We start from the raw sequence: 14,509 nt of genomic DNA on the forward strand, positions 1-14,509 counted from the left end.
CCCTCCATTCTCTCTAGAGAAACCAGAATGTTTCCTGTGTTGCCAGTATAACAGGTTTGGGCTATATATGTCAGCATTTCTGACAGGTGTTATAGCAGGGCGGGTTTTTCTGTGGAGCACCAAAGGGCACACATTTATCTTTAGACCATGGAAGCTAGTCTGGAGTGGGAGGACTGCTGTATTTTTATGCCAAGATTGAAATGTTAGATCTAATCATTAGAAAAAGTAACACACTGGAAGTAGGTTAACTGTACTAAAGCAGTGAACATATATTGTTTATATTTCCTTGAGTTAAAAGGATGTCTTTCTGGGGACAGGGAGTGACCAAGATGGGTTAGTTGTGTTGTAACTTTAGATAATCATGTTAAATTAAGCCATGTGGTATGACAGGCTGCAAATTGTTAAGAGCAAGTCTAACACCATGCTGGGTGTGAATGAAAGCCTGAGAGTTGCCAATTTGATGTGGTGTTAAGACACCTTTTCTGAAATTGGACCAAAGAGGTAAAAAAGAAAGCTTCACCACCTGAATCATGTATTTGCACTATAAAATTTAAAATAATCTGTTTTGTACCTATAGACTTTTTGTTTTGATCATCTATGTAAAATCTGCTATTAAATATTGGTTCCTCATATTCTAACTACAGGGTTTATTACCTCACTCCTGTTAACATATTCATTGACATTTACAACTTTTCCCAAAGAGGCTCATAAGCATAGAGCTGCGAGCATACCCTGGCCCTTGAGTGTTGGGACCTTATGAGTCCTCCCCGTCTTCTCGCTGTTAATGATGTAGAGTTCTGGTGTGCTCTCCTAGGATGGCTGGGGATTTTTTTGGCATGACCCTTTTAATTGTCACTCATATGGCTTTCCTGGGCTACTAATGGCAGTGCAGCAGCTTTCTTTGCTCCTTGGATTGTATTCCTTAGAGTGAAGAGGAGAGGGTATCATCTCTAGCAGGCAATCAGGTCTAAGAGAGACATCCCTCAAGCTTCCTACCACTTCTGAATACCTACTTTTATCTACACAAAACTGAAAGTTAAAAGGCTGAAAATAAGGTGGTTCAATTACCGCAGTGATTTATCTCCTTCTTTTTGTTACTTAAAAGCCGGTTTACCACTCTGTGTGTATGCACTTGGGTCTGTCAAGCCATGATTTAGAGCTTGGGCCTTCCTCTTAATTCCCTTTACTAAGTTCCGAGCAGTGCATTTTGCTGATTACAATCCAGGCTCAGAGTTCCTGCCAGGCCATACTGCCACTCCTTGTTTCTTTTATGTGTTCTCTAAGAATATTTTAAACAGACGTGCTACGCCAAGTGATTGCCAACCTAACGGGAATCAATTAAAATGGGAGAACATGAAGGTGTATTCACTGCCTGTTCTCTGCTTTCTTACATAATTTATAATGTGTTCCACTCAACTACCTGAGTATTGGTTGGTGACTTCTGAGCCCACTGGAACAGGCGTTCGTAGACGTTTCCATCATAACAGCCAAGTGCTGAATTTAAACACTGATCGGTGAAGTCAAAAGCATCAGTTAACAGGATGGCATCCTTCCTGGGATAGGAAACAAGAGTTTGTAAGTATTTTAGATTGCTCTTATGAATCAAACTAGTCTTGGATGGTGAATAACAATACCTAATTAGAGGTTGCATGATTATTCGCTTTTCAAACAATTCAGCATTTTTTTTTAGTTTTTATTTTTTAATCAGTTATATGTGCATAGTATAATGAGTCAAAGGGTTCCGTAAGGCTTGTTTAAAAAAACAGCATATCCGGCCATGCGTGGTGGCTCACGCCTGTAATCCCGGCACTTTGGGAGGCCGAAGTAGGTGGATCATGAGGTCAGGAGATCAAGACCATCCTGGGTAACATGGTGAAACCCCGTCTCTACTAAAAATACAAAAAATTAGCCAGGTATGGTGGCACATGCCTGTAGTCCCAACTACTTGGGAGGCTGAGGCAGGAGAATCACTTGAACCTAGGAGGCGGAGGTTGCAGTGAGTGGAGATTATGCCACTGCACTCCAGCCTGGGCGACAGAGTGAGACTCCTGTCCCAAAATAAATAAATAAATAAATAAATAACGAGCATATACCTGTCTGATTTCCACTTCTTTTTCCTCAGAAGCAATTTCAATCTGTTTTTTTTTTTTTTTTTGATACAGAGTCTCAGTTGCCCAGGCTGGAGTGCAGTGGCACAATCTCAGCTCACTGCAACCTCTACCTCCCGGGCTCAAGCCATTCTCCTGCCTCAACCTCCCGAGTAGTTGGGATTACAGGCGCCTGCCACCATGCCTGGCTGATTTTTGTATTTTTAGTAGAGATGGGGTTTCACCATGTTGGCCAGGTTGGTCTCGAATTCCTGACCTCAGGTGATCTGCCCACCTCGGCCTCCCAAAGTGCTGAGATTACAAGCATGAGCCACCATGCCCGGCTGGCAATTTCAATCTTTTAGTTGATATTTCAGTATTTATCTGAATGTCAAAATATCTTGTTTATATTGCTGCTTGTTGATGGTTCAGTTTGAGATATTATCTGTTGAATCTTCATTCAAAAGGTAAAGATTTATATTTATCACCCCCTCTCTTCACTCCTACCTCCCCTTGTTCCCATTCTTCTTCCTCCTGGCCTTCGGGCCTCCCAATATAGTTATAATTTTGGCCAGACCAATATTTAGTATTGACATTATGATGATTGTGTGTCATTAAAGCATTGGTGGTAACTGGGATACTGTATCCAATGTAATCGTTTCTTGATGATCCCCAACATCATATGAGCCCTACCGCCAATTTAATGTCCCCCTGCCCCCTTGTGGTCTCACTTCATTCCTTATCCAGCTGAAATTCCATGTTCTATTACTCTCTCAAAAATACATTCAACAGGCCGGGCGCGATGGCTCACACCTGTAATCCCAGCAATTTGGGAGACCGAGGCAGATGGATCAGCTGAGGTCAGGAGTTCGAGACCAGCCTGGCCAACATGGCGGAACCCTGTCTCTACTAAAAATACAAAAATTAGCCAGGTGTGGTGGTGTGTGCCTGTAGTCTCAGCTACTGGGAAGGCTGAGGTGGGAGAATCGCTTGAACCTGGGAGTCAGAGGTTGCAGTGAGCTGAGATCGTGCCGCTGCACTCCAGCTTGGGCAACAGAGCAAGACTCCCGCTCAAAAAAAAAAAAAAAAAAAAAAAAAAAAAAAATATATATATATATATATATATATATATATATATATATATATATATACACACACACACACACACACACACACACACACTCAACGATTTTTCTTGCTTTGTCATACCTGTTTAGCAAAACGCATACCTCTTTGTCTTTAGTTTTCCACCCACTTTGTGCCACCACCTTTGTAACTATACATGGCTGGAAAAAACAATCATAACTGGTGTAATAAGGGCTCAAGTGGGCCCTGATTGCAGCTCAGCAATCGTATTACATTGCTATATTTACTCATTGTTCATTTACTGTTTCTTTTTCTTAGGCAGTTATTTCTTACCATCTCTTTGATCCTCAGATTGACACTATCCACCTTTCCCATCTCTTTTGCCTGGATGGCTTTACATCGTATTTCACTAATGAAGTGGAAGCAGTAAGAGAATCTGTGTAAGTTCCCACCCTTGCATTTATACATACAATGCTTTCTCTCTTCAGGCTCTCAGCTCAGGCCTCAGTCCCTCCTTGTCTACTAGATGTCTTTTCCTCTTGCATACTGGAGAACAACATTCTCCTGCCTTTCTCCAACAACATCAAAATTCCCCTCAGGGGTAAAAAGTTAGTGGAAATGCCCTTCTTTCTTTTTACTGTAGGCCTGGCTGGTTGCTGTCAAAATGGGCAAGTTCATGAAAAAGTGGGAAAGTGGTGCTGGTCCTGGCTGGATGCTACTCTGGACGCAAAGCCATTATCATGAAGGACATTGATGATGGCACCTCAGTCCATTCTTACAGTCATGCTTTGGTAGCTGGAATTGACTGCTATCCTCACAAAGTGACAGCTGCCATAGGCAAGAAGATCTCCAAGAGGTCAAGGATCAAGTCTTTTGCAAAAGCTTATAACTGCAATCACCTCATGCCCACAAGGTACTCTGTAGATATCCTCTTGGACAAACTGTCATCAACAAGGATCTCCTCAAAGACCTTGCTCTTAAACACAAGGCGTGATGGGAGGCCAAGATCAAGTTCAAAGAAAGGTACAAGAAAAAAAAATCCCCTCTCTACTGGATCATTTCCATCAGTATACAAACAGACAATCATTTCTCCCATCTTAAACACAAGCTTTTGACTCTATTTCCTTCTCCATCACCTTGGCTCCCGTTTAGGACAAAACTCCCTGAAAGTGTTATGTGTGTTTATGCTTATGATTTCCAATTTTCACATTCTCTCCTGAACTGGATCTGTTCATGTTTTTACTCCCACCACTCCACAGAAATAGCTCTTGCCACGGTTACTTCCTTATTATCTTGCGAGGGTCTCAAGACTGAGTACTTGGACCTCTTCTCTTCATGCACTCCTTGTGATGTTCTTCTCAAGGCTTTAAATATCAACCATACGCCAATGACTTCCAAACTTATCCCTCCAGTGTCCCCTGCTTACCAACATCTGTACTTGGATTTCTGATAGGCTCTTCAAAAGTAATGTATCTGAACCCAAACTCCTTCCCGTCCACCCTGCCCAAACCTGGGCCTCCTGTAGTCTTCCGCATTTATAGTAAATGGCAGCTCTGCCCTTCTGACCAAAAACCTTGATTCTTCTCTTCTTTCTCACCATACATCTAATCTGTCAGCAAATCCTGTTCTGCCTTCAAGATATATTCAAACTTCAACCATTCCCACCACCTCCAGCACTGTCACTGCTCCAATCCACTATCATCACTCACTTGGATGATTGCATTAGCGATCCAGCTGATCTCCCTGCTTTTCACTCTTAGTTCTTAATATGGCAGCTGGAGCAAGCCTTTAAAAATACACATCAGATTCTTTTAGGTTGTGTCTATCCAATGCTCAAAACCCTCCCATTCTATCCCATGCTCAAAACCCTCGCATTCTCTTAAGTCTTTGCAATGATCTACCTTACCGTCTCTTCCCACCCCCTACTGTACTCCCTTAACTCTCTGCCCTCTGCCGTCATTTTCCACCGCAGTCATGCCATTCCTGCCCCTGTGGCCTCTTCTGTGTTCTCTGGATGGATATGCCAAGCACACTCTGGTCTCCAACATTTGTACTGTCATGCACTGCATAATGATGTTTTGGTCAATGATGGACCATGTATATGATGGCGGTCCCATGACATTATGATAGAGCTGAAAAATTCCTATTGCTTAGTGATTGATGTTAGAATTGGCTGCAGTATTCAGAACAGCAACATGCTTTGCAGGTGTGACTGTACGAGCAATAGGCTATACCATTTAGGCTTGTGTAAGTACACTCTGTGATGTTCACATGATGACAGACTCACCTGAAGACACATTTCTCAGAACGGATCCTCCAGTCATTAAGTGATGCATGACTGTACTTATGTTCTGCCTGTAATGCTCTTTCCCTAGCAGCCACAACAGCTTCTCCCTACCTTCTCCTCAGGTCTTTCCTTAAATGTCACCCTCCCAGGGAGGCCTTCTCTGGCCTACTTAAAATTGTAGCTCCCCCTCCTCCCTACTGACCCCCAGCATTCTTTCCTCCACTTCCTGCTATCCTTTCTTTCATGGTAGGTATTACCATTTCACATGGTATACAGTGTGACTTATTTTGTGCATGTGTGTGCCTGTCTCCTCTCCTCTAGTCTGTAGGCATCTGTGACCCTTTTTCATCTGAAACTCGTATCCTTCATTTGAGGAATGTTTTCTTGAATTATTTTATTAATGATTCGCTTCCTTCTGTTTTCTCTGTCTTCTTTCTAGACCTGTTCTTCAGATGATGAACAGCTAAGATTGGTCCTCTTACTTTTTAAAAGTCCTCCTTTTTTTTGTCTTTTTGCTTTCTTGCTGTGAGATTTCTGCAACTTTATCTTCCAGTCCTTACATTGAGTTTTTCATTTCCATTATCATTTTTTAACTTCAAGGAGCTCTTTTTTTAGGTTCTCTGAATATTAGTTTTAAATAATGGCATTCAGGTTTTTATTTTGTGGTTGCAATACCGTCTCTTAACTCTGAGATATCACTGTTTTTTTTTTTTAAGTTTTCTTCTCCCTGTGGATTCTCTTATGTCCTCTGAATTGCCTTGTTCTTGCTTGTTTTGGTCTCCATCTTTTATGTTAGGGGCATTCTTCAGGTGTTTGGTGATCCCTGAGTGTCTGATCATAGCTAAAAGCAAAGCCTTAACTAGCTGATTACAAACTTGTGGCTATGCTTGCTAGTATGGGGTTCACTATGGAGTGAATTGGGTGGACCATTGGGGGACTCTGATGTCAGTGTCTTTAGCTCCTTCTCCTTGGGCTGGTCAGATTCTCCAGAGAAGGATCATCTTACCATCTTCTTGCAGGGTACTAGTCTGGCTGCCAGTTTTTTAGGAACCAGTGGGAAAAAAGGTCTGGGGGAGGGAGGTGTCAGTATTTGGCCTATAAAGAACCCTGTGTTTTCTGAAGGGTAGCCTTATTATCAACTATACCTGATGCTCCCTAGTCCACAGATCCTCTATTTACCCTTCTGCCAGGGCAGAGTCAAGGAAAGTCTTAAAATTACTCACAGAGGCTAGGTGTGTTAGCTCATGCATGTAATCCCAGCACTTTGGGAGGCTAAGGTAGGAGGATCCCTTGAGCCCAGGAGTTCAAGAGCAGCCTGGACAACACAGAGACAACATCTCTTTCTCTTTGTGGGTTTATGCCTTTTAAAAAATTTCAGTCCATTCACTGATGTTTTAGTAGGGTTTCGGGAAAGAACAGAAGTAAATGCATAGTTTAATCTGTCATCTTTACCTGGAAGTCCCCCCAGCTGAGGTTTTATGACCGCTTAAACAACTAAAAACTGTTTGGGTCAGTTAACATTGCAGAGAGCTTGTTCTTGGCATCCATAGCATACTATGCCGCCCTTCAGTTTTCATCTCAGAAATCTTAGGGAGATAGTGACTAATCAAGGCAGGGAACTGTGACACCAAACAGTGATATGCATAGAATCTGTTATGTGCCTAATTACCCTGCAGTAGTAAGGCTACTTAGGAACCATCATGGAAGTAAATCAATTTCTGGGTTTGACGCATGAGTAAGTTGGCAGATTGCATCTGGGCTGTCTGTCTTGTCTTGAATTGTAAGTTTCTGGAGCCAAGGCAAGCACTTAGAAATGCTGTTTGCAAATTTAAAAAACATGCTTATAGGGTGTTAAGGTAATCTTTTGTATTTTATCATCACTGACAACCGGGGCTAGAACATTATTTTCAAGTGCTTTTAAATTCTGAGAGTTTCAAAAAGATGGACACCCTTGGGCTTGAACTGTGCAGTACTTAATTATGCTCTTAATAGTTTTCACCACTGGATTCCCTGTATTAGGGAAAGTTTTATACCTGGGACATAATTGTGTCAAACGTATTTTTGACAGTTTTTGATGATTTAACTGAACAAACTTTTTTTTTTTTCTTGAGATGGAGTCTCACTCTTGTCGCCAAGGCTGGAGTGCAGTGGTACGATCTTGGCTCACGGCAGCCTCTGCCTCCCGGGTTCAAGCGATTCTGCCTCAGCCTCCCAAGTAACTGGGATTACAGGCATGTGCCATCACACCCAGCTAATTTTTGTATTTTTAGTAGAGACCGGGTTTCACCATGTTGGCCAGGCTGGCCTCGAACTCCTGACCTCAGGTGATCCACCCACCTTGGCCTCCCAAAGTGCTGGGATTGCAGGTATTAGCCACCGCGCCTGGCCTGAACAAACATTTTTTTGACCACCAGCTATCTGTTACATGCTATGAGTAGTCATAAAGGGCATGTAACATATTGCATATTGTGAGAAATAAAAGGAATTTGGTCTAGTTTTTTAAAAACCTGTCTTAAAATCTTATTTTTAAAAAATTACAAATCTTTTAGAGACAGGGTCTCACTATGTTGCCCAAGCTAGTCTTAAACTCTTTGCCTCAAGTGATCCTCCCACCTTGGCCTCCCAAAGTGCTGGGATTACAGGTGTGAGCCACTGCTCCCAGCCTCTTTTTTTCTTTTTATTAGTCTTGTTGATATAAGAATTGTTGGAGATTCTAGGAGTCGCCTCTAACCCCATGCAATAGGTATCATATTTTCTGCCCAGTGAGGTCTCAAAAAGATTATATTCTCAAATTAGTCCATTTTTTTTAATCTTATGGACAATGGTAAATAATTTGCAATGTTTTCTTTTCTTTCCTTTTTTTGAGACAAGGTCTCACTTTGTTGCCCAGGCTGGAGTGCAGTGGTGTGATCATAGCTTACTGCAACCTCAACCTCCTGGGATCAATCAATCCTCCTACCTCAGCCTCCCGAGTAGCTGAGACTACAGGTGTGTGCCTGATTCATTTTTTGTAGAGGTGGGGTTTTGCCATGTTGCCCAGGCTTTTTTTTTTCTTTATTGTTTTTATTTCTATTTTTTTCTAGGACTCTGATCAGGTTGGGCTTTGGTTTTGATATGTTTTTAAAGCAATCGTTTAGATTATAGAATAATAGTGTGAAAGCACTGCATTAGTATTTCATTCACCATACATGGCACTGCATTAATGCTGCATTAAAAAACTTTGTGTTATTATTTTATAAATCAATATATGAATTACAGAGTTAAAAAAAATTTTTCATCTTGAAGCTGAGGGAAGATTAAGGTAAGTTTACTAAACTTGGTAAGAATTTGCTTAAGCACATTCAACAAAGACTAGGATGTGTTCAAAGTATATAATACCTCAACCTTAACCTTAACATACAGGTTAAGAGCTCATGCCCAGGGGCCAGACCTGAGATTGTACCCAGCCCCTCCTCTGGCTGATTGTGTGATACTGGGCAACTCCCATCAGCCTGAATTTCCTTTCCAATAAAATGAGGAGATTAATAGTACCCATTTCAAAGGGCTGTAAGGATTAAATGAGATGTATGTAAAAGCTTTTGGCACAGGGCCTGTCACATAAGTGCTCTTTAAAGGTTGGCTATGCCTGGGCACGTTGGTTCACACCTGTAATCCCAGCACTTTGGGAGGCCAAGGCAGGTGGATCACTTGAGGTCAGGAGTTGGAGACCAGCCTGGTCAACATGGCGAAACCCCATCTCTACTAAAAATACAAAAATTAGCTGGGCATGGGGGTGGGCACCTGTAATCCCAGCTACTTGGGAGGCTGAAGCAGGAGAATCACTTGAACCCAGAGGCAGAGGTTGCAATGAGACAAGATTGTACTACTGCACTTTAGCCTGGGTGACAGAGCCAGTCCCTGTCTAAAAAAAAAGAAAAGAAAAAAAAAGTTAGCTATGGTTGAGACTATTATTAGCACATTAGCACATATCATTCATATGTAGCATGCTTCATTTTATTGATTTTCCTTAGATACTATTCCTATTTCCTTGACAATGTAAAGAGTTCAACTGAGGTAGCTCATTTATTCTTCAGTATTTTTCCCATTTTTTCCCATTTTTTTCTTTCATTAATTCATAATGCTTTATGCTGGTGTAATGATAATAGGGTGTAGACCTCTCCAGGGCTGTTGCTGCTCTGCCCATTAGCAAGGTTTTGGAGTTGGAAGTGACCTGTGAACAAGGGGTAGGGTTATTCTCTGAAGACTAACATGGTTTGAAGTCTCTGCCACTCACCGGATCAGGCGGAGCAGGTCCAGGTAGGCTGTTCTTGCCATGTCCACTTGGGCACCAGACAGGAAGGCGTCATGGAGAAAGTCACCCGAGTTAGTCAAGATTCCATGTATGGCATGGAGGTCACAGAGGCGCTTGAGCACCTGCTGAATCGCTGGTTCATTTTCTAGTTTCTCCAGAGCTTCTGTAAAACCCTTCACAGTGACATAGTAGCAGTGCACCTACAAAGACACAAAGATATGTTCTCCTGATTTCTGGTTTTCTACTCCAGAAGTCACCCTGGAAGCATGGCAAGATGGCTGGAATAAACTTGAGGCATGATGTGCTTCCCAGCAGGCTGATGAGCAGCTGCCTTTTCTCCTAGCTCTGGGTCTGATCAAGGCGTTTTGATGTTGTGTATATGTGTGTGTTGGGGGGGGGAGCGGGGACGGGGGGGACTGGTGGGCTTTGAAACATGGCCCTTGTTTTCTTTTGCTTGGAGCGGTTTCAAGTAGGTTGGAAAGTAGAAGGAAAGAATACAGGCATATTGGAGGCTGGCCTGGGGAAGGTGGAGGACAGCACCACTGTTCTTAAGAAATTAGCTATTTTAAGGCTGGGCGCGGTGGCTCACGCCTGTAATCCCAGCACTTTGGGAGGCCAAGGTGGGTGGATCACCTGAGGTCAGGAGTTTGAGACCAGTATGACCAACATGGTGAAACCCTGTCTCTACTAAAAATGCAAAAATTAGCCAGGCATGGTGGTGCATGCCTGTAATCCCAGCTACTTGGGAGGCTGAGGCAGGAGAATCATTTGAACCCAGGAGGCGGAGGTTGCAGTGAGCCAAAATCATGCCATTGCACTCCAGCCTGGGCAATAAGAGCAAAACTCCATCTCAAAAAAAAAAAAAAAAAAAAAAAAAGAAAAGAAAAGAAAATAGCTATTTGTTGTCTGCTGTGTTCAAGTCAGTGGTGTGTGTGTGTGCGTGCACATGTGTGCACCATGGGGTGAGAAAGTTTCAAGATATATATGAAATTTATTCCAGCTAGAGTATAAACTCCTTAAGGTAAGCAGTGCTGTTATTTAGCCCATATGTTATGGTCTGGCTGTGGCAGTTGTAAAAATAATACTTTAATACCAGCTGGCAACTGTCCACTGCCATCAACCCTGTGAGAGCCCCTTCTGCCAGATGGACTCCTTCCCGAAGACCCCCTCCTTCTCTCCACAGCCCAGCAACTAAAGGATTAATGTTTGACTCAGCAGGAGGCCTTCAGGACCTTGCTTCCCCTAGGGCTAAAGTCCATTTTGATTGGTTGGTGCCTTGTCCTACTGGTTGTAACATATTTTGAACAGTCCGCATCTCGTCAAGACAAGCACACACAATTATTTTGTCAGGTAGGATATATGAGTTCTATAAGGGAGAGCAAGGAAGAGAGAAAGTATAAAGCAGTGCTTCTTAATTGTTTTTTCTGAGATAGAATCTCACTCTGTCACCCAGGCTGAAGAGCAGTGTTGCAATCTTGCCTTGCTGCAACCTCTGTCCCACTGGGCTCAAGTGATTCTCCCACCTCAGCCTCCTGAGTAGTTGGGACCACAGGCACACACCACCATGCCCGGCTTTTTTTTTTTTTTGTATTTTTAGTAGAGACGAGGGTCTTGCTATGTTGCCTACACTGGTCTCGAACTCCTGAGCTCAAGTGATCCTCCTTCCTTGGCTTCCCAAAGTGCTGGGATTACAGGCGTGAGCCTCTGGACCCCGCCCTGCCTCTCAGTTTTTTATGTGCATATAGATCACCTGGGGATCTTGTCAAAATGCAGATTCCAGGGCAGGGCCTGAGACTGTGCATTTCTAACAAGGTCCCCTGTGATGCCCATGCTGCTGTAGTGATTTTCAGTAGCAAGACTTAGAGTGTCTTGGGGGTTCGGCTGGGCGCGGTGGCTCACACCTATATCCCAGCACTTTGGGAAGTTGAGGTGGGCGGACCACTTGAGGTCAGGAGTTCGAGACCAGCCTGGCCAACATGGCAAAACCCTGTCTCTACAAAAAATACAAAAATTAGCCAGGTGTGGTGGTGCACACCTGTAATTCTGGCTACTCGGAAGGCTGAGGCACAAGAATTGCTTGAACCTGGGAGGTGGAGGTTGCAGTGAGCTGAGACCGTGCCACTGCACTCCAGCCTGGGTGGTGGAGTGAGACTCTATCATAGAAAAAAAAAGAGTGCCTTGGGGGTTCAAAGGAGTTCACCCAGGCGGACATGAGTTGGGGGAAAGGTCATTCCAGGCAGGGGGAGCTTTATGTGCAAAAGGCTGTACTTTCAGGAAGCTGCAGGCAATTTAATGAGGCTGAAGTGTGGTGGTATAATGAGGTGATGATGGGGAACCATGGAGGTTAGGGTGGACTCATACCTGGGGCCCAGGTCAGTGAAGGGCTGTGAATAACATGGTCAGAATTTGCTCTGTGGGACTGGGAGTCTTCAGCTGGGCAGTGACCCGATCCGCTTTCTCACTTGGAAAGAACTTGTGTTTCCTAGGGGGCCCTCACACAGGTGCTGACAACTCCACTTTGCCATTCAGACATGGTGTGCTCACAGCCATGCTGGGCTTGCAGCATTTGGCTGTGGAAGGTGAGCAGATGTGCTGTGTTGCCTCTGCTGGCTCCAGTAGCCTTTGTTGCTCAGACTGGGTCCAGCTTGGCAGAACTGCGGACCCGCACTCCTTTTCCTGTCCTAATCTGAGAGCCACATCCTCAAATGCTCAAGGCTCTGAGTTGAGGAGTGGAGTGATGGAGAGCTGCCCAGGGGCCTGGGCCTTAAAAAGCAGGATGAGGATCAGAGACAGAGGTGACCTCTACACTTTGGGGAAGGGCTGAGCTGAACCTTGGCCCCACGCTCTGAGCACAGTGAACATTATTTACATTGTGTGTGTTGGTTTAAATCTTGCCTCCTGTCTAATTTGGGGGTGGGGGTGCTAGCTGCCTCTCTAAGTTTTACTTATTTAATCTTTATTAGAATCCTACAAAGTAGGTACTGTTATTAGCTCTATCTTGCAGACGAAGAGACTGAGGCTCTGAAAGATTAAGTTTTTTGCCCAAGGTCATGGCTAGGAAGTGGTAGCAGTGAGATCCACACCAGGGCTGTATTCCTAACCCTGTGTGGCCAAAGCCACAGGAGACTGAGGCTGGATTATAATGAGGCCAGCATTTGTTCCCATGGTCCTGGAGACTGACATCTCTTCTGGTCAGAGTCTGAATTATAGGACCACGGCCTGACAGAGCCTAAAGGGCTCTTCCATGCCCCTTTGTCTACAGACAGGGAAGTTAAAGCCCAGAGAGGGAAGGGGCTGCTTGAGGTCACACAGAGCTGGGACCAGAATTTAGCCCGTGGCTCCCCCTTGTCTACTCTTCTGGCAGTATCATCCCCTCTTCCCTCAAGTTGCAGTTATCTCTACCTGCACATTTATGGTTTCTAGATGGGGCCCAGTTGGGTGCTGAAGCTTTCTGTAGACTAAATAACCCCACAAAGCACAGAGAGTACAGAAAGCCCTATCCATTATGACCTTGGAGACTCAGCTGGGGCACCACCTCCCCAGGAAGCTGTCAGGGACGTGTTCTTCCCCCGCAGGCTGGCTGGCTGTCACCCTCCATCCCCCCAGAATTTGTTGCTCACCTCAGTCACTCATCACACCCTCAGTGGTGTGGGAAGGGAAAGCATCTGGACTCAGCTATTTCCTACCTCTGGGACCTAAGTCCTGAGTTCTCTTTCCTCACCCTTGAAGTGGAAATAATGTCAGTCTCCCTCCCAGGGCTGTGTGGATTAAATGAAGTAACCCTGGCAAGCAGCATCTGGTCCATTTGAAGGCAGGCCATAGGTTTGGAAAATGAATGAGTGGATAATGGGTGGCTGTGGTTTCTGTTTTGGTGATCCAGTGAAAGCAGGAAGCCTTGGCTCACCCTCTGTGTTGACAGGACAGTTAGCACAGCAGGGGGTGCCCCTGCTGTAGGCTGAGCAGAACTGAGGGCTGCAGAGGTAATCCCATCACGTGTGGTGTGGTGGAGGTGGTGGGTCACGTGGTGGTGCTCAACGTCCAGCCTGCCTGACCAGCCCTGTCCCACGAGGGCCTCTGCAGCCCTTCAGGGCTCTCCTGTTCCAAGGCTGCCATTTTCTGGGTCTGAGGCCTGAGGATTGGCGTGATCACTTTAGTTTTCCAGTTATTGGCGGTGCCAGAGTCCCAGCTGCCTAAGCTAGAACTCAGGAGTTGTTCTTACCTCTTTCCCACCCCAGCACTCTGAGGCCTGTCCCTGCCTTCTTCCCCCTTAGCATCTCTGATCTACCCACTTGTCTCCAGGCCTTCTGCCATGCTCATGGTCAGGACCACCCTCAGTCCCGGTTCAGACTTGCTCCTTTCTAACTTGCTCCCTTTCATTCCATCCTGGGCAACCTGCATGATTCTTCTAGAATGAAACTGATCACTTTACCCCACCTCCAAACAAACTCAGCAAAGGCATTGCAATGAAAACAAAACCCCAACTTTTCACAGTGGTGCAAAAGGTCAGAGGCCTTGCCTGTCTCTCCTTCTCCCCTAGTCTCAGTCCTTCTCCTTAGGTCCTCCTTGGGAGATTTGCACTTCCTCCCAAGCACACCAGGATCCTTCTTGCTGCTTCCTTTTGCACGCGCAGCTCCCTTTGCCTGGAAACTTTTCTCTCCAAAGCTGCCACCCCACCCTTTAGCTGGCTAATTTCAGCTTATCCTTGAAGTCTTAGCTGATATGCCACTTCTTTTGGGAAGCCTTTCTGACTCCTCCAGG

General features: G+C 44.7%; 1 protein-coding gene and 1 pseudogene across 4 annotated transcripts in view, besides 1 other annotated feature; one reads left to right on the forward strand and one right to left on the reverse strand.

Annotated features, from left to right (window-relative positions):
- The window catches only part of ACOX2 (acyl-CoA oxidase 2), a 32,055-nt gene that overhangs the window by 2,337 nt on the left and 15,209 nt on the right, over positions 1-14,509 (reverse strand). For all 4 annotated transcript variants that reach the window (NM_003500.4, XM_005265505.2, XM_047449042.1 and 1 more), the window contains 2 exons: positions 9,734-9,951; positions 1,421-1,553 (listed from right to left, as the gene is read on the reverse strand). In NM_003500.4, coding sequence (NP_003491.1) covers positions 1,421-1,553; positions 9,734-9,951 — 351 coding nt within the window. The remainder of the gene's footprint in view (positions 1-1,420; positions 1,554-9,733; positions 9,952-14,509) is intronic.
- On the forward strand, positions 3,838-4,215 carry RPL27P9 (ribosomal protein L27 pseudogene 9; annotated as a pseudogene).
- Positions 13,280-13,797: an enhancer, noted in NCBI's record as "H3K4me1 hESC enhancer chr3:58506479-58506996 (GRCh37/hg19 assembly coordinates)". NCBI's record gives its function as "activates a minimal SCP1, AML or CMV promoter by ChIP-STARR-seq in primed H9 embryonic stem cells {active_cell/tissue: H9 hESC(primed)}" and the evidence as "EXISTENCE:reporter gene assay evidence [ECO:0000049][PMID:30033119]".

The sequence above is a fragment of the Homo sapiens genome, chromosome 3 (assembly GCF_000001405.40).
Source record: "Homo sapiens chromosome 3, GRCh38.p14 Primary Assembly".
Taxonomy (NCBI): domain Eukaryota; kingdom Metazoa; phylum Chordata; class Mammalia; order Primates; family Hominidae; genus Homo; species Homo sapiens.